Source organism: Homo sapiens, chromosome 20 (assembly GCF_000001405.40).
Source record: "Homo sapiens chromosome 20, GRCh38.p14 Primary Assembly".
NCBI lineage: Eukaryota > Metazoa > Chordata > Mammalia > Primates > Hominidae > Homo > Homo sapiens.
In genome coordinates, this window is record NC_000020.11 from 57,554,942 (window position 1) to 57,580,067 (window position 25,126).

General features: G+C 49.5%; 1 protein-coding gene across 2 annotated transcripts, besides 1 other annotated feature; it reads left to right on the forward strand.

Moving 5' to 3' along the window:
• PCK1 (phosphoenolpyruvate carboxykinase 1) lies at positions 6,169 to 13,180 on the forward strand. Of its 2 annotated transcripts, NM_002591.4 has the most exons (10): positions 6,169 to 6,262; positions 6,431 to 6,694; positions 7,130 to 7,311; positions 7,755 to 7,958; positions 8,087 to 8,274; positions 8,624 to 8,786; positions 9,228 to 9,452; positions 9,541 to 9,672; positions 10,099 to 10,194; positions 10,409 to 13,180. In NM_002591.4, the coding sequence occupies exons 2-10, from the start codon at positions 6,471 to 6,473 to the stop codon at positions 10,861 to 10,863; spliced, it is 1,869 nt and encodes a 622-aa protein (NP_002582.3). In that variant the 5' UTR covers positions 6,169 to 6,262; positions 6,431 to 6,470; the 3' UTR covers positions 10,864 to 13,180. The 2 variants fall into 2 exon arrangements, with proteins under 2 accessions (NP_002582.3, XP_024307656.1); XM_024451888.2 differs by lacking the exon at positions 7,130 to 7,311.
• Positions 13,746 to 14,246: an enhancer, noted in NCBI's record as "H3K4me1 hESC enhancer chr20:56143743-56144243 (GRCh37/hg19 assembly coordinates)". NCBI's record gives its function as "activates a minimal SCP1, AML or CMV promoter by ChIP-STARR-seq in primed H9 embryonic stem cells {active_cell/tissue: H9 hESC(primed)}" and the evidence as "EXISTENCE:reporter gene assay evidence [ECO:0000049][PMID:30033119]".

A 25,126-nucleotide genomic window follows, 5' to 3' on the forward strand; every position in this document is an offset into this window, starting at 1 on the left:
GAAACAGGAGACACCCAGCCCTCCCAAAGGTTCTAACACCTGGATATTTAACATGTCTTCTGGGCACATGTTTGCAGCAAGAATCATGCTTTAATAACAGGCACCAAGCAAAGTGGTGTAAGTCTAGATACATTTTTATTTCCTTATTGTGGGAAAAAATACATGAACAAACAAAATCACAAAACTTCTGGGGAGAGAGTTTTTGAGGATATGAATTTTCTCTGCTGGGTACATTCAGCCCTGAGCTCACTGCCTTACGACAGCACAGGCCATGTAGCGAAGCGGGAATGATTAGGTTGAAGTCTGGGCAGGGTGATCGGTGTGTTAGGGACCTGCCTGCACCCTGAGTGGGCTTTGGATACCATCCTCCCACTACTTGTTCCCACATCTTCAAAATAAAAGACTGAACGATATAATCTTTTTTAAAAATTGAGATGAAATTCACACAACAAAAAATTAACCATTTTCAGGTGCAAATTTAGTGGCATTTACTACATTGACAATGTTGTGTAATGCCCCTCTGTCTAGATCCAAAACATTTCTCCCAGAGGAGATCCCCCAACCCATTGAGCTGGAGTGACGTCATCTTTTAAGGACCTTTTTAATTATATGATTCTATGGCATCAGAATAGGCACTTGACTCATTCAGCTCTGTAAAGACACCCTCCAGACTGCAAAGACATTGAGATAATCCCACAAACATGAAACTTCTAAATATTTGTCCCTAACAAACACAATTGAGGTGGGGTGGATGACCTGAATCGCCCTGGTGGATGACTTTGTGGCTGATCGTTACAGGGCTGACTGGTGTTTTCCTGCTGTCAGAAGCTTCATGATGGGGCCAGTCGGGTGCCCAGTGAGTAGTATCCCTGGCAACAGAGACCCAGGCAGATTTGCGTAAATACCTTTCGTCCCAGGACATGGGATTTACACTGTGTGTTTCTCGTCACCTTCAGGAAAACCACTGTCCCTTTTTTTCTTTGCCAGATAAGAGTCAGGCTTTCCTACAAATTCAGATTCCTGAACCAAGGGGCATTTTTGTGGTCATCCCTTCGGTGTTCCCGTCACTGCCGTTGGTGGCTGGGGTGAAGTGAGGAGGTTGTGGCTGTGTGTGTGAGAGCCTTAGCTTGGGAAAATGGTGTCTTTGCCGTCTCTGGTTCTCAACTCTTCAGCACAACTTGGTTGTGCTGTGTGGATTTTCAACATGTTCCAGCTGTGAAATTCCTTATACCACAAACATCCAATATGGAAGCCGGAAATGTACAACAGGTCAAATCAGAGATGCCATGGGTGAGGAGGGCTTAGAGCCCGTCTCCTACAGCCTTTCTCTCTCCTCTGTGAGGGGTGAGTGGAATCCCCCTAAATCCCTTAGAGCCCAGTTGGGAAAACACGGACCTTGACTTTACATGACCTCCAAGCACTGCTGTTGAGAGTGTGTGTTTGTTTTTTTTTTTTGAGATGGAGTCTCACTCTGTCACCCAGGCTGGAATGCAGTGGTGAGATCTCGGCTCACCACAACCTCTGCCTCCCGGGTTCCAGTGATTCTCCTGCCTCAGCCTCCTGAATAGCTGGGATTACAGGCATGCGCCACCATGCCAGGCTAATTGTTTGTATTTTTAGTAGAGATGGGGTTTCTCCGTGTTGGTCAGGCTGGTCTCAAATTCCTGACCTCAGGTGATCCGCCTGCCTCAGCCTCCCATAGTCCTGGGATTACAGACGTGAGCCTCCGCACCCGGCCCAGAATTTCTGTTCTTTTATTGGCCTCCAGGTAACCAAGAAACACCAACATGTGTTGCAATCAGACTGTCCTCTGAATCCTCCACTGTGAGACCCCGCCAAAGTCATGGCTTTGTTTTCTGTTGTTCATCTGGAATGCAGCCATTCCCCACACCCACCTCCCCGGTCACACCTGCTGCATCTTGGCTGTCCCTGCGCGTGTTTTCTGCTGTCTTTGTCACTGCTCCATCCTGCATGGCATTCTACAGGCTCGTCAAAGTCCAGTTCACCCACTCTTCCAGAACCCTTCATGGTAGGCTGCTGGGAGAAATTGGGCTACAGTCCATCACAGGTGCAAAATGACACCTGAGAGGTGGCCCTGTCACTGACCACTTCTTCCCCAACACATGCTCAGTAGACTAAGTGTGGTGGACAGGCGCACCCTGGCCTGGGGGACCCAGAGGACTTGTGTTTGGAACTCCCCTTGCTTCCTTGGGTCTGCCATGACTGTCTGGCCCCCTCCTGCAGGGGCCTTGTATGAGCAGTTCGAGGAACGTTCTCACTAACTGCAAAGCACTGTACCAATGTCTTGATTACATTTTAGATAGCAGACAGTGGCCCTGGCTCTCCCACTGGAACTGTCTATGTGGCACTTGGCCATGTACAACTTCTTTAATTGGACCATCATGTAGGTCTGATGATAAACCAAATACTCTAACATCAGGGTGGGGGTCTCCCCAACTCCATCTTAAGTCTTTGAGGAAATTGTTTCTTAGGCAAGATAGCTCCATAACTTGTGGGACCACGTGCAAAATACACAGGGCCCCTTGTTCAAAAAGGACAAAAAAAAAAAAAACCTGTGTTCCTTTCTCCCATGGTCTCTCTATCTGTTGTGGCATGTTTTGCATTTGCTGTTTGATGTTGCGCTCCCTTGGGCAGGGGATGCTCATGGGAATGAGTGCAGACCCTCATGGGCGCACAACTCTGACCTGACTTCCCTGCCCTTGTGCTCAGACCCTAGTCGGGGTGGAGGGCAGCAGTGGTCACCTAGCAGGAAGAGACAGGGGAGCGGGCAGCTGAGGCTCCATCCTTAGAAGCAGAAAGGCTGAGGGAGGCAGAACTGTACAAGAGCCACGCCGCGTGCCCCATCATCCCTTCAAATGTAGAAGTGACACAAACTTAGAAGATCACTATGAATTTCAAGACAGTGACCCCAGAGCATGAAACTCCAAGAGAAGAGCCCCCTTCCAAGAGTGAGGCATGCTCTTGAGACTATGAAGTGGACCCTAGGATCAGTATGAAGTAGGTGCTCAGCAAGTGCTTGATGACTATGTGCTGGGAGTATAGACAGGAAAAGGACTCTCAGTTTGAGGACACATCTAGAGAACTGGCAATAGTAGCTGCTCATTCACTGTTGAAGGAATGAATATGATTCCTTTCTCGACCCTCGTCTATACCCAGCTGGGTTGAGACCCTCAGTTTCCTCATCTATAAAATGGGAAAGATAACAAAGGTACCTACATCGGAGAAAATCATGGAATGCATCCCATTTCTGGCATGCAGAGAAAGCCCAGTATTATGAAGATTATTATGCCCGGTGCTAGAGACATAGCAAGCATTTAATAAACGTTTGAGCTGAGGCTTCCTAGAGAATATGAGATTGCAGCAAATTGGATGCAAAACTTCTCTTTACCTTTTTAAATCCGTCTAATTATCTCGTATCAGGATATAGCTGGTGTGGTCACAAAGCAGGGAAAAAGCAATCGATATCCCTGAGTAACTGCAAAACATGGAGTGGCCCCAGGAAGGTGCAGGGAGGAAGTCCCTTTTAGTTTGAAACTATTTTAGTGTCCGATCTTTCTTTCTCCTTCTTTCCCCAATTTTGTATCTGGGCTCAACTTTTTATACATTTTTCAAAAGAAGAGCAGCCTTGGACCTAAGAAAATCTGAGCCTAAGGAGCTCCCCAAAAGCTAGGAGGTCTCTATGGCATCCGTCCCAGAAACAACTAACGCAACTCACAGGCAGCGTGAGCCACCTCCATGCCCCACCCACTGAGCACACACTGCAAAGTCCACTCGGCGGGTTAACTGGGGGTCCTCAGGGATCCCACCAGCAGGGTGGCTGTTTGGCTGCTTCTTCGGGTCCCTGTTGAAACCAACAGACAGTAGTTAGTTTTGAGGCTTACTTACAAATAAGCTGACAGTCAGATGAGGAAGACCCATGCTTCCGGCCAGCCCCTTGAAATTGTTGTCAATGAGTCCCCACTGGGGCAGGGAGTCTCTAAGGACAGGAAAAATGGGGGCCCGAGGGCATCATCTGCCAAGACCTAAGGCAACTGTACCCATACTTTTGCCTGTGTGTCCTCAAAACCCCTCTACTTTATCATGATTCTTCTTCCAGAGAACTCTGTCCTTTGAGGCAAGTCTGTAAACCAATGTTTGCTTTTTAACATTTTGACAAGGGACAGTTGCGGGGGAATCATTACCGTCCTTCCACGCTGTAAATGCAGGTAATGAAAGGATCGGATGAAGGTCGTTGGTGACTCACTGCTCTGACGTTTTACTTGAACTAGCTGTTTCTCTCCCAGAAGACTCAGAACATAAGCACCTGGAATGGATGGGTCGCATTTAGGACTCCAAATGAGTTCTGCTTTCCCTTTTTGTTTTCAATCTATGTGCTCTTTCAGGTACTCAAACCTGTTACCGTTTTATCAGCAAAATGGGACTTTCTACCAATTTGGTGGGATGAGTCTCGCCGGGAGTGATGTGTGTGTCACGGAATTGTGGTCATGCATCGGGATGGCTAATTCACTGATGTCAGATGCTAACGAAGTGGCCTCGGCTACTGAGCATCACGTCACTGTTGGGTTTAGACACAACACGATCTTATGTATGGATGACAGCACCACTAATAACAAATGCCAGTGACCTAAACGGGGAATAACTTCAAATGAAACAAAAAGCACCTCATATCATATTTATCCTGAAAGACACAACTGGCTGAATAAAATCTGAATACAGGAAACATAGCAATGGGTTGATAATTTTGGTGGAACTTGATGATGTGTGACCCACGCCCAACACAGTGTGACCCAAGCCCCCAGGAGGGTTCTCTAAGTGAGTTTGGTCGGAGGCTGCCATTCACAGTGACTTGTATTTGCCACAGCAGCTCTTTCTAAGCCCAGTCCTGGGATTATCTCAGGGATCATCCCACACCCCAGCGGGGAGATGGGCCAAGTCCCCACCTGACCTCATCTTAGGTAGAGAGGCTTCCATGGAAGTGTGGGCTGGCTGTGGGGGGTTGAGACCTAGCCCCGTTCTTTTGACATTTCACCCTGTGTTCTCCAAACTCCAGCAAGCAGCTTCCATAGCTCATTAAATTTGACTGAAGGTCTGATGGCTTGCAAAGCAAATTCTTTACAACTGTTATAAAGGTTTCATTGCTTAAGCATATAATCTAGCAAAACTGCCAAGCCCCCTCCACTCCCTAAACTCTAAGACTTGCCAGGGAAGAGAACAGTGGCCAGTGGACTGCAGGAGTAACTGCACTCAGCCCAGAACTCCCTGGAGGACACAGGGAAGGTTCTGGAAAGGTGGCGGTACCTCACAGGGAGAGACGTGGTGCTCCAGGGCCCAACTTGCTCATGTTCAGATCCTCACTCTGCAACCCACCAGCCGGCTGTGAGTGGCTACACAATCTCTGCCTCAGTTTCCCTATCTGTACATGGGTTGTTCATAGCCTCCACCTCAGAGGGTAGTAATGATGCCAAGCTCTTAGAACAGTGCTCAGCATGTGTGCATCCTGTGCCTACTCTATGCCAAGCACTACAGAGAGAAAAATGAACAAAATAGGGAGAAATCCCTGCCCTCATGGAGTTTACATCGGGGCAGGGGGCGGGGGCGGCACAGAGCAGACAATCAATACAGTGATTAGCCCCCAGTTAGGTTAGGCATTTCCAATCTTTGCCAATAAGCCACATATTTGCCCAAGTTAGGGTGCATCCTTCCCATGAACTTTGACTGTGACCTTTGACTATGGGGTGACATCTTATAGCTGTGGTGTTTTGCCAACCAGCAGCTCTTGGTACACAAAATGTGCTGCTAGCAGGTGCCCCGGCCAACCTTGTCCTTGACCCACCTGCCTGTTAAGAAAAGGGTGTTGTGTTTTGCAACAGCAGTAAAATGGGTCAAGGTTTAGTCAGTTGGAAGTTGTGTCAAAACTCACTATGGTTGGTTGAGGGCTCGAAGTCTCCCAGCATTCATTAACAACTATCTGTTCAATGATTATCTCCCTGGGGCGTGTTGCAGTGAGTTGGCCCAAAGCATAACTGACCCTGGCCGTGATCCAGAGACCTGCCCCCTGACGTCAGTGGCGAGCCTCCCTGGGTGCAGCTGAGGGGCAGGGCTATTCTTTTCCACAGTATTTAAAGCTGGGAGGTTCTGCCACCAAGCACGGCCTTCCCACTGGGAACACAAACTTGCTGGCGGGAAGAGCCCGGAAAGAAACCTGTGGATCTCCCTTCGAGATCATCCAAAGAGAAGAAAGGTAAGTAGAGCTTTGCATTTACATTTTGAAAAATTACAAAGATGAACTCATTTTTTTCCTGAGAGCAATAACTATTTGGCAATGCACAGCCCTGGCAAAAGGCCGTCGAATGTGTTTGAAGGTGTCTGTTGTTGTTTTTGTTCAGGACGCTTGCGTTTTCTATTTCAGGTGACCTCACATTCGTGCCCCTTAGCAGCACTCTGCAGAAATGCCTCCTCAGCTGCAAAACGGCCTGAACCTCTCGGCCAAAGTTGTCCAGGGAAGCCTGGACAGCCTACCCCAGGCAGTGAGGGAGTTTCTCGAGAATAACGCTGAGCTGTGTCAGCCTGATCACATCCACATCTGTGACGGCTCTGAGGAGGAGAATGGGCGGCTTCTGGGCCAGATGGAGGAAGAGGGCATCCTCAGGCGGCTGAAGAAGTATGACAACTGGTAAGCTCGGCCCCCGCTGCCTGTCCCAGCACCCTGCAGGCAGGGCTCCCCTGCGTCTCCTGGGAGTTGGTGGAGAAAGGTGAATGAAGGCCTTCGGGTAGTTTCAGACTCTTGAGAAGATGAATGCAATGGTCAGAACCATACAGACTTGAATTTTGTGACATTAGTGGGCCAGCCCAAGCTTTAAATGAGGTGTGTGCACAAAAGCTCTGCCAACTAGATTCCTGATTAAAAAAAAGGCAGCCCCTCTCCTACAGACCAGGTCCTAGTGGAGTAAATGTCCACCTGGCCATGTCTTAGATGGTCTGTGTGTTCACACTGATGGACTGTTGTTAGCGTGCTCAGCACTCTGCTAGGCATGGAAAGCCACGGTACTGAAGGAGATGGTTCGCTGCCCGTGGTGCTTGGCTGAAAGGAAGCCTGTGATTTTTGCAGCTGGTTGGCTCTCACTGACCCCAGGGATGTGGCCAGGATCGAAAGCAAGACGGTTATCGTCACCCAAGAGCAAAGAGACACAGTGCCCATCCCCAAAACAGGCCTCAGCCAGCTCGGTCGCTGGATGTCAGAGGAGGATTTTGAGAAAGCGTTCAATGCCAGGTTCCCAGGGTGCATGAAAGGTGAGCGGAACATTGATTTGATTGGGTAAAACAGCAGAGAGCCTTTTCTTATTTACATCTATCCTAATGGTAATTCAAACAATAATGGAAGCTCCCACCACCTCAGATGTCTTTCAGTTCCATACATGAAGTTGGCAATGTATTGAAAATGCACATCCCTCTTCTGCTTTTACAGACTGTCTTATACAAACGTGAAAACTAGTTCCATGCATATGGGTTTTAAATAGCTTGGTGGGACCCAATTGCACATTTATGAAAACTCTTTAATTTCAGCAGGCTGTTCACTTTCCAGTGGCCTCTTCTAACCCAGGGGGCTGGTGACCAGCAGGGTGTGGTGGTGTTAGTGGAACACCGTGAAAATGGGTCTACCTGGGAAAAAAATGCTGGTCGTGTTCGAAGTCCAAGGTCATTTCTCACCAGTGCCCACCCATCGCACCCTGTAGGTCGCACCATGTACGTCATCCCATTCAGCATGGGGCCGCTGGGCTCGCCTCTGTCAAAGATCGGCATCGAGCTGACGGATTCACCCTACGTGGTGGCCAGCATGCGGATCATGACGCGGATGGGCACGCCCGTCCTGGAAGCAGTGGGCGATGGGGAGTTTGTCAAATGCCTCCATTCTGTGGGGTGCCCTCTGCCTTTACAAAGTAAGTGTATTATTTCAGAATCAAAAGTCAAAATAAAAAAGAAAGCTGAACGCAAACCCCAGTGAGTGCCTCGGGGACCCCCAAGCAGGGCCCTGGCGCACTGACTTGGGAGGGGTCCTTGTTCACAGAGCCTTTGGTCAACAACTGGCCCTGCAACCCGGAGCTGACGCTCATCGCCCACCTGCCTGACCGCAGAGAGATCATCTCCTTTGGCAGTGGGTACGGCGGGAACTCGCTGCTCGGGAAGAAGTGCTTTGCTCTCAGGATGGCCAGCCGGCTGGCCAAGGAGGAAGGGTGGCTGGCAGAGCACATGCTGGTGAGCCTGCAGGAAGCCCTGATGTGCAGATGAGAGGCCTGGGGGGTGGCAGAAACAAACAGCATTACAGTTCCCACCCGTCAGCACACCTCTCTGAGCGTGCAGGTTCCCGGACAGATCGGGAAACCCCACCAGTAATGATTAGTTTACACATATACATCGCTTTTGAAGGCCCCCAAACACCAGGGGACCATAGAGATCCTTTGGACTTCATGATTCTGGGAGTGTTTGTTTGCACTGATACCTGAAGAAATAGATCTTGAGGGCCTACATTCCAACCTCTGGGCTGAAGTACCAACCTCGGGGAGAAGGAAACAAAGATCACAATAAAGAATCTTGTCCCCAACAGATTCTGGGTATAACCAACCCTGAGGGTGAGAAGAAGTACCTGGCGGCCGCATTTCCCAGCGCCTGCGGGAAGACCAACCTGGCCATGATGAACCCCAGCCTCCCCGGGTGGAAGGTTGAGTGCGTCGGGGATGACATTGCCTGGATGAAGTTTGACGCACAAGGTGACTCTTTTAGACCCAACTCTTGGTAACGATTGGACTCAAGCGAATCGTTGGCCTTCGAAACATGTCACATTCTCCTCAGTCCAGTGTTTGGATTTTTAAACTCTGTTAGTCCAGAGTTGGCCAAGCCTTAGAAATATGGATCCTGTAAGAATTCTTCAACTTAATATTCAATCTGGATTGAAACTGGGCCATATGTTGCTGTTTGTTTACATACATACATTTGTTTAAATGGTATTGGTGGAAAATTGTGGAGGAAGCAAGAGTCGTAAACGTATCAAAGTTGCATATGATGCTTGGATGAAAAGAGATAAATGCATATTCTAGGGAGGGAAAAAAGATTTGAGAAGTTGGCATAGAAATTAGTCCGGCAATATATAAGAGTATATGTTCTGCTTTGCCTGGCACTCACTACTGCTTCTCTGGTTTAAAACTCTCCAGGTCATTTAAGGGCCATCAACCCAGAAAATGGCTTTTTCGGTGTCGCTCCTGGGACTTCAGTGAAGACCAACCCCAATGCCATCAAGACCATCCAGAAGAACACAATCTTTACCAATGTGGCCGAGACCAGCGACGGGGGCGTTTACTGGGAAGGCATTGATGAGCCGCTAGCTTCAGGTGTCACCATCACGTCCTGGAAGAATAAGGAGTGGAGCTCAGAGGATGGTGTGTCCCTGCCAGAGGCCTTGGTGTGCCGGGCTGCAGGGACTGCCTGTTTGAGCCAGGCACTCACGAGCCTTTCTCTGTCTTATAGGGGAACCTTGTGCCCACCCCAACTCGAGGTTCTGCACCCCTGCCAGCCAGTGCCCCATCATTGATGCTGCCTGGGAGTCTCCGGAAGGTGTTCCCATTGAAGGCATTATCTTTGGAGGCCGTAGACCTGCTGGTGAGGCTCTCCTTCATTTAGGCTGGGAACATGGGTGTGCTGGGTACCGAAGGGCATCTGTGAAATCTCTCCTTTTCCATGACCTTGTCAGAGGGTGCCCAGGGGCTTCCTTTCTTGAGCTTCCTTCCCAAAGATCCAGAATAATTGGCAAGTTCAAATGTAGAACCAACCCTTCTGGTCACCTGGAACCTTTCTGAATCCCTGATCTATTGTAGCTTGATCAAATTTTACTTTTTACTTTGTGGCCTCAGTCATGTAACTTTGAGTTAGCAGTTTTCTGCAATTTAGCTTGGTGAACGCAAAACTAGCTCGATTACAAAGTTATTGTCTTGCCGTGTCTTTCCGTGTTGTGAATAACACCACTGGTTGTGGAGTCTGAATTTCAAAGCCTCTGATGAACATTTCTCTTTTTTTTTCCTGCTAAAGGTGTCCCTCTAGTCTATGAAGCTCTCAGCTGGCAACATGGAGTCTTTGTGGGGGCGGCCATGAGATCAGAGGCCACAGCGGCTGCAGAACATAAAGGTAAATCAAAGTCCTGATCTGAAACCACAGAGAAGTGGGATTAGAGCACTCTTCGTCACTCTTATGTCTCTCTCCTTTTCTGTGTCTGTGTGTGGGGAGAGAGAGAGAGAGAAAGAGAGAGAGGAGAACAAAGCATGCTAATGTCAACAATCAATGGCGTCAGTCTTGCCTAGGAGAGCCTCATTTACTAATGAACTCCCTCTCTGTTTAACAGGCAAAATCATCATGCATGACCCCTTTGCCATGCGGCCCTTCTTTGGCTACAACTTCGGCAAATACCTGGCCCACTGGCTTAGCATGGCCCAGCACCCAGCAGCCAAACTGCCCAAGATCTTCCATGTCAACTGGTTCCGGAAGGACAAGGAAGGCAAATTCCTCTGGCCAGGCTTTGGAGAGAACTCCAGGGTGCTGGAGTGGATGTTCAACCGGATCGATGGAAAAGCCAGCACCAAGCTCACGCCCATAGGCTACATCCCCAAGGAGGATGCCCTGAACCTGAAAGGCCTGGGGCACATCAACATGATGGAGCTTTTCAGCATCTCCAAGGAATTCTGGGAGAAGGAGGTGGAAGACATCGAGAAGTATCTGGAGGATCAAGTCAATGCCGACCTCCCCTGTGAAATCGAGAGAGAGATCCTTGCCTTGAAGCAAAGAATAAGCCAGATGTAATCAGGGCCTGAGTGCTTTACCTTTAAAATCATTCCCTTTCCCATCCATAAGGTGCAGTAGGAGCAAGAGAGGGCAAGTGTTCCCAAATTGACGCCACCATAATAATCATCACCACACCGTGAGCAGATCTGAAAGGCACACTTTGATTTTTTTAAGGATAAGAACCACAGAACACTGGGTAGTAGCTAATGAAATTGAGAAGGGAAATCTTAGCATGCCTCCAAAAATTCACATCCAATGCATAGTTTGTTCAAATTTAAGGTTACTCAGGCATTGATCTTTTCAGTGTTTTTTCACTTTAGCTATGTGGATTAGCTAGAATGCACACCAAAAAAATACTTGAGCTGTATATATATATGTGTGTGTGTGTGTGTGTGTGTGTGTGTGTGTGTGCATGTATGTGCACATGTGTCTGTGTGGTATATTTGTGTATGTGTATTTGTATGTACTGTTATTGAAAATATATTTAATACCTTTGGAAAAATCTTGGGCAAGATGACCTACTAGTTTTCCTTGAAAAAAAGTTGCTTTGTTATTAATATTGTGCTTAAATTATTTTTATACACCATTGTTCCTTACCTTTACATAATTGCAATATTTCCCCCTTACTACTTCTTGGAAAAAAATTACAAAATGAAGTTTTATAGAAAAGATGGATTTGCTTTGCTTGGTTTTTCTTATTTGAGCTACCAAGAGGAGAGAACTCTGATTAAATATCTTGTGATTTAAATCCTGCCCCCTCCCCAAGAAGGTGGGGACGTTCAGAATCACACTTGAAGAGGGGGTGCATTGCCTGGTCCCAGGGAGAAGGAGGGAGCAGATGGGGAGGAATGAGGCAGGGAACCATGGTTGGGGTTTTCTGAATTTGCTGAAGCCACTAGTTGGCATCCTTTAACAATTCTACAAACCTTTAGATGGTGAGGCTTATGTGGCAGGACTGGGAGGGTTTAATGCATGCTTTTTGACAGTTTGGATCTGGAGGGGTCTCAGGCTTCCACAAAAATTACATTGTGGACAGTTTCATAGGATTTTGCCTTTTAACTCTTCAAAGCAACAGTTTTCTCAACTGTCATCCCCGCGGGGGAGCAGAGGAAGACAAGTGAGAAGGAAAAGGGGACAGGATCTGGGTTGAGCAAGCATTAATTGAGCGCCTTCTGTATCCCGGACATCATGCCAACACCATGGGCTGCCCGAGAAGAGAGGTGGGTGGTTTGGTCCCCAGCTCTGCCTTGAACCCTCACCTGCTCTCCTCTACTCCCAGTGTTTATTGGATATTCCAGAACAGTCCAAACGAACCATAAACTTTATATCACAGATTCAATCTGTGTAAATACTATTATCTTCAAGTTGTAGTTTCTTTCTTGGGCCCAGGCTGTGAAATTGGCTTCACCCCTACCACACCCCAGCGGGCAGGCTTGTTCTTATGTCACACTCCACCCCTCCAGTCTCCTCAACTGGAAAACTTGCCTCTTTTCCTCACTTCCTCTGCTCCTTACAATGGCTTCATATGGAAGGTGAAGCTGAGATCACCCCAATTTTACAGGTGAGGAAACTGAGGTCAAGCTAGGAGCGTCCAGCGGGGCTGAGAAATTGCCAGGATTTCCTTCCCCATTAAGGAGCTGAGAGTCTTAGCTCCAGACACGTTGGCTTGTTAGAATATCAAAACCACCGAAGGGGAAAAACCACTTACTGGAATTAAATGCTATCTGCTGTATTAGTTTAAATCAGTGGCGTTCAAACTTGTTTCTCCTTTTCACTGCGGAACACGTTCTTGACATGTACTTGACTCAGAGTCCCATGTCTAAAGGAGACAGAGCCCAAGGCAGCCCACCTGAAGCTGGGGAGGGAGTCCAAAGTGCAAGCCACCTGGTCTCCATTTCCCCGCCCCTTGGGGGCCTTTGGGCAGCTCCTTGGACCCCTGAAAGAGGCCACCAGGATAAACTTTGTTAAAATGCATGCCTTGTGCCCCACTGTCCTATTACGGGCTTTCAGTAGTCTCCACTCCCTCGGCAGGCAAAGACACTGGCCATCTCCAAATTCCCTCCCCTCCTGCACAGCATCAGCCACCTGGCAAGCAGTCTCACATAGGACCATTTGCCAGCAGGCCCTGCAAGCCTGGGGGACAGCCTAGAGGAGGTGACTTACATACACAGCATAAGAGTTTTCAGGAGACCAAAAAGATTCAATATATGTCATTAACTCCTGACTCAGTTTCCCCAAACCATGCCTCCTGAGTGCTCCCTCTGTCTCCAAATCCTGATTTTTGTGCGCGGACCCCTGTCTACAATAAACAGGATCCTATGACTTCTTTCTTCAATGTTCTCTTGTCGTGCCTTCAGATGATGCAAAGTATGTAAGCTAAGCCCACTTGCAGGAAGCTCACAGAAGGCAAGAGGCTCATCACTTGAAAATACGGTTGGAGTGAGATGGAAAGCCCAGAGTCTCCTGATTCCTGGTCTACCACTGGACCACATGACTCCAAAACCAACACTGTGACTGACGTCCTCTACTGGAGTCCAGTGTAAGAGCTGTCCCCTGACCTCCAGGAAGCTGTGTTGCAGTCTGGGTTAAAGACCAGAAAACAATAGTTACACAGCAAATGTTGAACCAGGACAACAAACCTGCCCTTATTCCCAGTCGAGTCACTTAGGGGGCACTGACAGGTAGGCAGGCGGGGTGGCTAGGTGGGGCCGGGGCACACTTGGGAGTCAGGAGTTACAGGGCTCTTTCTCTTCTCTCCCTCTCCCTGGGGACCCACCCTAACCTGGACACCCCCGGGCTGCTCACTCGGCCCTCTGGATGCCAACAGCATGCACCTTCCAGAGTGCACGGTTTTGGCTGTAAGACCGCAGGTCATGGGCCCTGTTGAGCTCCCTTGACCTGCAGCCCTGCCAGAGGGCACCGAGCCAGGGGAGCAGCTTTTGCTTTGTCCTCACCTTTAGCAATTGCAGCGATGAATTCATCTATGGGAAAGAGCTGGCCACCTGCTTCCTCCCTCCTGCCCTTTTTCCTTCCCTGGGGGCAGTAAACACTGACAACCTTGAACACAGCAGAGCTCTGCCGCTGGCCAGTGGGGTCTTCTTCTGTCTCCTCTGTGCCACTGGGGTCATATTACCTCTGGTGGAGTTCGATAAGGATGAAATAAACTAGCCCAGCGCAGTGCCGAATCTGCAGTCAGGAGGGTCTGCGTGTGAGCCGAGGCCCTACATCTCCCTGGAAGTATGCCCTTAGGTGATTGCACGAAATGCTGAGCCTCAGGTTCCTCAACTGTAAAATGGGAGTGATGATTACTTTCTTCAGGGGGTTGTTGAAAAGCTCCAATGAGATGATGCCAGCCAGGGACTTGGCACACAGCTGGGCCTGGTGGGGGCGGTTGTTCTCATTTTTATTTCACTCCACCTCTCCGGGGTATGGGAGGTCGCTCCCCACCAAGCCGGCTGTCCCACTGATGACCGGCTGTGGCTCTGGAGTCGAAATCTGTCCTCTGTGCAGCCTCCACAACTCCTACTTTCACTGTGCATTTCAGGAAAAGGAGCTGAAGAGCGAAGTCAATCAGGAATATCAGAAGCATTTTTTTCTCTTCGTATGGCGAGCCCATCCCTGTAGGGAGCCACCTTCACCCTTCTCAAACATTTTAGCAGAAGACTCAGAGTTTGGGTCCAGGAATTCTATATTTAAGAAATGTGTCCTAAGGGAAAAATCATGAAAGTCTGCACAGATTTAGTTGCAAGGATGCTCATTATGGAGTTGTTTATCATGGCCAAAAATTAGGAACCAACCTAAATGCCCAACAATAGGAGATTACTTAAAAGAAATTGTAGTCCTTTTGAGAACAGACAACTAGGCAGCCATTTAAAATGACTCTGCAAAAGATAAGTTATTGACATGCAATATTTGCCACCGGCTTCACCTGTGAAGGTAGATAATGAAAGGGTATCGAGTATTTGTACATTTATGCTTAGAAAAAAAAACTTTAAAAATACCATACAATGGTAACAGTAGCAGCTGGGTCCTGGGTTGTTTGATTGGGAGAACTGAGTTGCCTCATTCATATTTTCACCACATCATTCAGGCTACAGAACTTTGCTGCAAAAAGGGGAGCTTGGCAGAGGCAGGGGGTGCCCCCAAATTGAGAAAACCCTGAATGAACTGACTTTACCCCAGTGATCTAAGGTAAAGTTTCTTCCACGGGATGAAATGGGGGCTTGAGACAGAGATGAATTTCAGATGGGTTCTCAAGCAGATAAACTTGTTTCTGCTTTCCTGAAGTTTTGTCTGGAGATTTTCTGCTCCTCCTCACACAGGAAGCTCAGCATAGCGTGGACCTTTGAGAGGGGTTCAAAACACAGGCACTTGTGAAGGCCCCGCTCCCGGGACCACTGGGCAGATTCCAGGAAGAGTGGCCGGCACCGGATCGATGCGGGACTGATTGTTACAGAACTGTTTCCACGCACCATATTCTCTCTACAATCTGGGCCCTCTCTTAGCTCCACGATAGAGCTCAGAGGTTTCTCTGATGCTGCAGAGCCGGGATTTAGGGATGCCACAGAGGAGCGGCGGACGTCATTTGGTCCACAGTAGCACCGTAGTGGGACCAGGAACACATATGCCTTGTTGACACCTGCTTGCGTCTTTGCACTGGACACTTATTCCTGGGGGTGCTGGGCCTACACAGCCTGGGCCGCCTCAGAGCTGTTTCGTCTGTGAGCCCCTTGGTAAAGGGATATGTAAATGTGAATGTTCACCAGTCTGAATGGCAAAACTCCTCTCCAGGCGAGGCAATTTGCAGCAAAATATGCTGTAAATATTTGTTCAGCCTGGGAAAATTACTCTAATTGCATAATTAAACTCGTTGTTGATGCTACTTCCGGACAGAATGCCTGCAGAGGAGGGCCCAGCCTGCAGCTGCCCTTCAGAGCTTTTTCAATAGAGAGACTGTTTGCAGAGACTTTTCTCTGGCCCCTGTCTCTTCACAGGGAGAACGAAGAAAGGAACTTGGGGAGAGGTTGTCTGTGGGAGAGAGGAGGGTGTGGAAAGGTCCCAGAATCAGAGGACCACTGGTGTGGGGCCTCGCGGATCCTCCCTGAGGATTAGGGCTATCTTCCAAATGCCCAACACACATTCCACGCTCCACGGACAGCTGGTAACTTGAGCCAACGATTCATTCACTGAAGTGGAAAAATATTAGTAGATTGAAAGAGATTTGCTTAAAAAGACATCAGATCCCAACTGAATCCAAAACCAGTGTTCCTTGCTAAGGTAACCACAGAAACACAATGCGAAGTGAAAGAAACTGGCCACACAAGACCCCTGTATTGCATGAGTCCGTTGATATGAAGCGTCTGGAATAGGGAAGCCTGTAGAGACAGAAAGTAGTTTAGGAGTTGCCGGGGGTCAGGGGAGGAAGCAGTGGGGAGGGACTGCTGACCCCTGACCCCCGACAGCTGCAGGGTGTTTTGTGGGGGGTAATGAAAATATTCCAAAGTTAGATTGTAGTAGAGTTTCCAGAATCCTGTGAGTATATGAAAAAGCATTAAATTATGCATTTGAAATGGCTAGGGTTTTTTTTGTTTGTTTGTTTGTTTGTTTGTTTTGTTGTTGGGACGGATTCTCACTCTGTCTCCCAGGCTGGAGTGCAGTGGTGCGATCTCGGCTCACTGCAAGCTCCGCCTCCCGGGTTCACGCCATTCTCCTGCCTCAGCCTCCCGAGTAGCTGGGACTACAGGCGCCCGCCACCACACCCGGCTAATTTTTTGTATTTTTAGTAGAGACGGGGTTTCACCATGTTAGCCAGGATGGTCTCAATCTCCTGACCTCGTGATCTGCCCGTCTCAGCCTCCCAAAGTGCTGGGATTACAGGCGTAAGCCACCGTGCCCGGCCAGAAATGGGTGGGTTTTATGATATGTAAGTTACAGCTCCATAAAGTTGTAAGTAGAAGAATAATATAACCAAGACAAAATATACCAAAGATTCTGAGTTAGAGGCCTGCATTCACCATGTTGAAAAGAGAGCTGAGGAAGGAAGAGGTGTGTGCACCCCACTGAGACTCTGTCCTTTGAATCTGGAGGAGTAAAAAAAAAATGGAAAAAGGATGGACTTTCTCCTTATGGATTCAACGTCATTTAATGCCAGGCCAATGATCCTCCTAAAACTACCACAAGTACCATAAAATTATGTCATGTCACCAGCAACTGGATGTGAAACTGAGGCCACAGGGGGCAAAGACCTGCAAAAGTTACTTGGCTAGCAGGTGGGAGAGTGGGAGCCACCAGGAGCCTCAACTTCTAGGCTGACCCCACTGGCATTGAGTCAGGAGACCAAGAACCCCACCCCAGCCTCTCAGCCCATCAGGAAACCCACACAAACTGCTTAGACAGCTGCAGGGAGGGTTTGGCTCGTGTCACTGCATAGGGGAGGGTCTAGACACAGGGCAGGGGCCCTGGACCCAGAGGCTCCAATATGGCAGGAGGGGTCCTATTTCCTTCTCCCCTCTCCCTAGCAGCAGAAATCTCTGGAATGGAAGTATTCACTACAACGCTAAGCTTCTGGTGTGGCCTGAAGACAGTCCCTTCATCTCTGAGCCTGTTTCCCCAGCTGTACAATGAGCACTCTGCCTTGGTCCCTGGAAGCCTTCCCTGCCATGAGGTTGGAGTCACATGGTTCTTCGGTGGGACCCTTAGAATTAGGATTTAGTGAGCCCAGGTCCAGGCGTGGGGAGAGTGACAAGGCAGAGAGCGCGGCTGACTTCATGAGACACGATGAGAATGATTCCTCCCCAAGTAGTTCACTGTAGCTCAGCAGTGTGCCTGAAATCCCACTACCGGGATCCCCTATTGCCCCACTTGATGACACCATCTATCCCCACCTGCTTCTGAGTTGATCTGGGAAAGGACAGTGGGGAACACAAGGCTCAGACTCATAGGTATAACCCCAGGTCCCCTCCATTCTGGCCCAAAGCCTGGTTCATCCATAGGCCTCAAAAGTCAGCTAGAAATCCCCAACCTGCTGCTGGTTGTTTGTCTTTAGGGGCATGTGTGAGGGGTTTAGCTCAGACCTCAAGATATCGATCTATCTTTAAGAGAAGCTCCTGGCTTCTCCCAGGGAGATGAGAGGGTACCTGTTCTATGGCCCAGAGGGCAGCATGAGGACCCTCATCCCAGGGAAGCCAGCATCTGGAAGACCTTGTCTGCCATGCCAGTTGCCAACCTCTGGAGGGTTCAAGGCTATTTTTCAGGGACGGGTGAAGATAGCTCCTTGCACCCAGTGGAAGCTGGAAGAGCTCGTGAAATTCTCTGCCAAGGCCAAGGCTCTCAAATCTAGGTGAGCGGACACATGAGCCTGGGCCGCCCAAGACTGGCCCTGGGAGACCAGTCTAGCCCAGTTGGAGCCTCCTGGGCTGAGCCTAGCCCTTGGGGTTGGCATTAGTCCCCTGCCCCATAGTTCCCCTGGTTAATAGAACTCAGGTCTGGCCTCCATGGGTGCGGAGGCTGTGGCTGTCTGTTTGAAGCCTCAACGAGGGTTCATCACCATTAAGGACGGAGACCGGGGAGCCGGGGGGCCGGTGACTCACTCAGCAGCTGCTCCCCTGTTATGTAAAGTGGAGCTCAGAGCCATTAGCCGATAGGAGATGAAATTTACATTTTGAATTAACTCGGATCATCAGACTGCTTCTTCTCGACCCAGGGAAATTGAACATCAAGTTGGAGGGAACTGTGGGCAGGAGGGGTGGGGGCTCAGCCAAGCATGCCGGATTGCCTTTTTCTTTTTTATTTTTTTCAACAGGCTGCAGGCAAAGGGGACAGGAGGACGCTGCTGCGAAGTCAGTCTTAAAGAGAGAGGGAGAGAGAAAGTGGAGTTACTCATTTTCTGTTTTCCTCGGGCAGAAGCACAATAAATCAGCATGGCAGAATTAAATTCTGATCTGTCCAATTTCCTCCATCTCACCCTCTCCTAATAGTGATTATTTATTGAACACTTATTGTGTGCCCAGCACTTAGCTAAACACTTTATAGATAAGGGAGAAGTGAATTTGTCTTTCCCCTTCTTTGTTTCCCCAACCCGCATTTCTAGTGGGGAGGGGGTCTGATGAGAGAAGTAGAGAGACCGAATTTTATGGACAACACAAAGTGCTGAGTTATGTTAGGAAGCCTTCTGGGTCTTTTAGAGGCAGCATTTGGGAATCTGAGTCCCTAAAGCCTCCTGTGACCACAATGCACAGTGAAACCTGCTGTTCTGTCCAAGGGGCCCTGTGGACAGCACCCCCTAGAGGTGTGCGTTGCACCTCTCCTCTCAGAGCCCAGATGAGAGCGCACAGCTGAGAGACACAGCTGTTCTGAGTCAAGCCTTGCAGGCTGGGATGGGGATTCAGGAGGAAAGGTGAAGGTGTTTCCACCTTCCTTTGGCCTCGGAGTTTGTCTGCGATCAGCTGCTAGTGAGAGTTTCCTTCCTGGAAAGGGACTGGGTCCAGATGTCCTTCTAACTTGGTTTAGAACAGACTTCCTGTGTCACTCAACTCCCCAACAACTCGGGCTGTGGGAACAGGGGTTCTCTTTCTACTGGGTCTTCCTGGCCTCATGGACAAACTGACTCCCAGGAACTGGGTTACATATAACTCAACTTTCGGTGGGTTCACCTGATGCAACCTCATGTCCTTCATGTCCTGCCCTGAGATGTGTCAGAAGAGGTCAGACCTCCTTGCACCATGGGTATGGGTTCTATCAGTGAAGTGATGGTCCCTGGGGCCCCTCTAACATGGGGGTTACAGTCACTGCATAAGTGTGGAGAACAACTACTGATTCAAGTCTGTGCTGGTAACAGCAGGGTCAACTTTTCGTGTTGCTGAGCATGAGAGAATGTGCTTTGAGGAGTGACATTTTTGTTCTGTTCCCAGCTGGCGGATGCCTCCCTAGAATGGCAATTCTCCAAGATCAATCTGTCACTTTCCAATGAATAGTTATCGAACAGCTTCTGACTGCCTGGCACTTAGAGTCAGCCCAAGTGCTTAGATGAGCTGATCAGGACTGTCTTTCCTAATGAATTGGTCCCACAGGGGGCCCTGTCCTTTTCCCAGGGTCACTGAAAAACTTCAAGCCTCAAGGTATAAGGAGTAATATTTTCTCTAAGGAGAATCTACGTTACTATTCTGCCCCATTCAGAACTGCCTGATGGTCAGTCTCCTGTTCCATCCCCTCACATTTTGGAATTCTGCCTGGGCAGTGAGGGAAGGTGCATTTGCATTCCACCTCCCCCCTTCCTTCCTTCCTTCCTTCCTTCCTTCCTTCCTTCCTTCCTTTCTTCCTTCCTTTCATCCATCCAGTCATCCATCCTTCTGTCCATCTATCCATCCATCCATCCTTCCTTCCTTCCATCCATTCATCCACCCTTGTATTCATTGTTCCAGCCTTTACTCTTCCATTTAATTATTCTTTCTCATATTCTCCAACTATCTATGCCTCTGGATGCTTGTCATCCATCTGTACATCCATCTAATGGTCCATCAACCTCCAATAAGTCACTCATCTGATCTCCATCCAGTCCATCAATGATCAACCCTGCATCCATCCTCAATCCATCCTTTCATCTTATCACTAAGGACACATAGCTCCCCATCTGTGAGAGCCGAGTTTGAATTAGCCCTGCCTGGTTTTTCCACATGCCCTCAGGATACAAATAACTGCACCCAGACATAGCAGACAAGCTAGGTGTCCTGAGAGGTGTAGACAGGTTGTTTCAAAGTTTCAGAGGAAGGAGAAGGAGCATCAGGGAAAGCTCCTCAGAGGAAGCAGTGTTTGAGTACTCTCATAAAATAACATCATATTTGGAAAGTCAAGATATAACTGGAAAACTGTAGGCATTCCAGCGGATTATGGGATCTGCGTGAGGATTGGGTGGATGGAGGTAGAGTGGTTGGAGAATCAACAGAGGGTGAGTAGAGAGGTAGATGCTGTGTAGACGGCTGGAGGTTGAAAGGATGGATGAGAGGTTTGGTCAGATTAAAGGGTGTGGAAGTGGGAACAGAAGAAAGGTAGTGTGGCCCCCTCCCATGCTAGGGCAGATTATGAAAAACCATGCCGTGTAACTGAGCAAGGGTTGATTTTGTTAGACAGGGAGGTAGAGAAGCTTGTGGATGATGAGCGAGCCCCCAGGGAGAGTGGCCTTTTCCAAAAGCTCCTCTGGTATTGTATGCCCTCTGCACTGGGGGTGGTTATCAGTGCTGTTCTTCTCAACTTGGGGATATGGGGGCCAGAGACGCCATGGAGTACAGGCCCTAACCCTCTAGCTATTCTGCAGTCTGCCATCAATCAAGTGCTCATGGCTAAAACTCCAGCCAACAAGGAACTTGAACAACACAAGTCTAGAAAACAGGCTGTTGTCAAGAGTTTGACTGATTGATGGTTTGGAGCTCAGAAAAAGTTTCCCCATGGTCATTTCTTAATGGCCATTTCAGAACAAAGGGGCAGAGGAAACCAAACACCTTCCCAGGGTCTTGCCTCTGGCAGGGGAGAAATTGAGGTCTTTGATGGTTTCAGATGTAAGTGCTACCCTGCCGTTAGGCTAAAATTTCCAGTATTTGAAAAGTCCCAAGCTAATTTTCAGGGAGGAAATTAGATGAGAAGTGGCTTTTAAAACATGGAGAATCTTATGTTTAAAAACTTGGGTTGCCAAGGAAACTCTCTCTTCAATACTTCCTTGCCACCATGTTGTAAATTAAGCCCCTAACTGAAAGGTAATTAAGGTAATTGGTGGCACTGCTGCAGAGAGAATGTGGCAAGGCAGCCGGAGGGAAGGAGCCCCCAACCTTTTAGGGCACACAACCCCCTTAGCTCTGGGGGAAGCTGCATCCATTACTGCATGTGAGGGCCTTGAAGGCACCTTTGGAGAAGGCAGACCAGCAAACAGCTGTGAGCCATGCTCAGTGAAAGGCCAAGGAAAGGAAATCTGAAATGTCACGCTGCTACCCTGTTGGTTTTGAATAGGTGAAAGCTCCATGAGTCAGTTAATGAGCAGATTGGGAAGGGCTGCAGTGTTCTGGCCCCCTGCAGCCAGGTTAATGTATGTGGTATCGGGAGAGAGCTTCAGCAATTGTTTTCTGTCACTTTCAGGAAGGAGGCAATTAGTTTGTGGTCCCAGCCATCCAGCAATCCATCTGTCCATTCATTCATCTCTCTATCTGTTCATTCATCTGTCCATCTGAACATCTATCCACCCACCGTCTATCCACCCACCAAGCCAGCCATCCACCTATGTATTTGTTTATCCACTCATCCATCTATCTGTTCACCTGTTCATCCATCTACCCACTCTCCCCACATACACAGCTGGATGGATGGGCATATCAATGAATGGAAGGATGGATGGATGGATGGGTGGATGGATGGATGAATAATGGGAGGGGTGAATGAGTGGGTGGAGAATAGACAGATGGATAGTGGATGAGTGCATAGCTACTATCCATCTGTCCACCTATCTCCATTTACTTATCTATGCAGCCACCCACCTACACGTCCATCCATCCATCATCTATTCATCATCCATCCTCCATCCGACCGTCTATCAGTTCATCTCCTGCCCATCCATCTAGTAAGTAAACATTTCCTAAGCATCCATAATTATAGTGACAACATCTCCCACTCACTGAGAGATAAGGTATGTCAAGGCCTTTCCAGGCACAATCTCTTTAGATCCTTCCCTCAACACTGTGACTTCTGGAATGTGCCCCATTCCAGAAATGAGGCAGTAGAGAGGTTCTCACAGCTAGCAAAGGTGAGAGCTTGGATTTTAACTCTTGTCTATACCCTGGGTGCAAATTCCTAGGAGAGGGGCAGTGGCTTTTATCATCATCTATCTCTGCATCTTTGAGCCTGGAGAACAAGATGTGAAGGAGGGTGGGGACAGAGAGCTTGGCTGAAGCACTGGGAAAGGGACCTGTGTCTCAGGCTCCAGGGGCCAGGGGCTGTCAGTGACCCAGGTCCAAATGCCCTGGCTCTGACCTGCCCTAGCACACCCTTCTGCACATACCTAGGCCTTTCCTCTTCCCACGGGGTAAACACTGCCAGCGTGGTCAGGTTGCTGGTGCCAAGGTGAAAAGTCCATGGATCAGAAACCGGGCCCCCCTGGGAAGTGCCGTTCCCAGAAGCTGAGGCCTTTCTTCCAGTAAACTTTGGCCTCCTTCTTTCTGGCCGTGACTCCCCATGCACAGGGAGTCCAGGTTCACATCAAAGGGGTGGGGAAGGGGAGAGAGGGGTGTGCAGCTGAGCACCCCATGGCCCAGCACTGCACTGCGCTGGGGCTTCAGGTGCTTCCTCATAGTCAATTCAGTCAACATCCCAACTGGGGGCGGGTCTCAGTCTTCTCACTTTGCAGAGAAGGAGACTGAGGTTCATAGTGGCAAAGTAACTCTCCCCAGGTCACATGGTTAGTTTCAGGGAGAGAAGTCTCATCTCGAACCCTGATATCAGCAGGCAGCAGCTGGAGCCAGACTGCAGTGGGCCTAGGGGTGATAAGTGGGCTCCGCTGTCAGCCAGGCACTTCTGAGCTGTGTGACCCTGAGTGAGTCCCTTAACCTCTCTGTGTCTCAACTCCCTCTTCCTACTTACAGGGTTGAGAAGACTCACAGAAGGGGTGTACACCAAGTGCTTTGGATACTCTCGGCACTCAATAAATGTGGGCTCCGTGCAGTACTTGTCTCCTGTGTGTAGTGGAATTCTGCAGGGAAAAGTTTGTTGGGCAGAGGAGTCCCACTGCTGCATGCTGGCTGAAGGGCTGCGGCTGCACTTTGCGGGAGGCTGAAGAGCCAGGAGAAGCGAGGATCGATCTGCTGTCATTCAGCCCCAGGAAGGGCACCCTGAGGCCTGACAGCTCCTCCACCACTGTGGCAAACTGCAATCCCGGGAGAGGCTGCCACCTTGCTGAGGGATGGGTGGGAGCTAGTCCCTGGGAGGGGGTTCCCCTGCATGTGTCCTTCACAACTCTCTTCACAGGCAAAACCCGGGGACAAGTGTTAAGAGCTCTTTGTCATCCATCTAATGAACATTTGTTGAGTGAACCCCCGAGGAGCAGGAGCTGTCTTGTCCTTACCTCCTCTGACTCTGGTGCCCAGAACACTGCCTGGTGACACCCACTGGAGCTGACCCTCCCAAGGGCTCCTGTGTACCAGCAGAGAAGGCATTTCCAACAGGCTGCCTCTCCGAGCCCAGTCTACCCTCTAAGGCAGCCATCACCTGTGTCCTGCTCACCGGGCTTAGGGGGCCAAGATAGCCAAGGTCACTGGGATCCTAAGGAACAGAGTGGGATTTGAACCCCAATGTGTCTGAGCCCAGAGGCACTGCCTCCACCACTCTCTCCATCTGCTGGCCCCAACTGCTTTGCAGATGTTACCAGTGTCTACCGGTTGGTAAAGGCTGGCTCAACCCTGGAGCATCTACTGAGTGCCGTCTCCACCGCAGGGGCTGGGGGACTCACGGGAAAGCCAGACACAGTCCAACTGGGACCAATCCTGGAGCATCTACTGAGTGCCGTCTCCACCGCAGGGGCTGGGGGACTCACGGGAAAGCCAGACACAGTCCAACTGGGACCAACCCTGGAGCATCTACTGAGTGCCGTCTCCACAGCAGGGGCTGGGGGACTCACGGGAAAGCCAGACACAGTCCAACTGGGACCAAGGGCTTCTGAGGCCACCGCACATGCTATGGTTTTCTGCCAGGGGTACTTGCCCAGGAGTCAGCTCTGGAAACACTTTGGAGCTGCTTCCCAAGGCCAGAGCGAAAGCCTGCCCCACTTCTCCTTCCTGGAGCAAAATCTGAATATGTACTCCCTATGGAGTTTGCCCCAGGTGCCAGGGGCTGTGCTGAGCCCCCTCCCATGGTCTCCCCTGAAAGCCCGAGGGAAATGCTGTCTTCATTCCCATGCTGTCAATGAGACAACCATGGGGAATGAGCCGTGAGCACCACCATCTTTCTTGTCCCTTCGAACATCTCCAAGTCAGATAATCATAACAATAGTGGCAGGCATCCCACATTCGTATAAGCTGGCAGTCCGTCCTGCCTTGGCCCCCGGCCCAGTTAAGCAGAGGGAGGTGGTGCTGTGCCCTGCATCTCTATGGATGGGGAAACTGAGGCTCGGGGCTGGGAGGAGGCAGATCTGAGGGCTTCTGAGTTTCTCCTCCTCCTGCAGACAAAGAGAGTCACCCAAGGTCATCAGAGCTGCCGCGGCGGCAAAACAACAATGTTCTGACTTCTGGTCAGGTCCTCCTTCCATCACGAC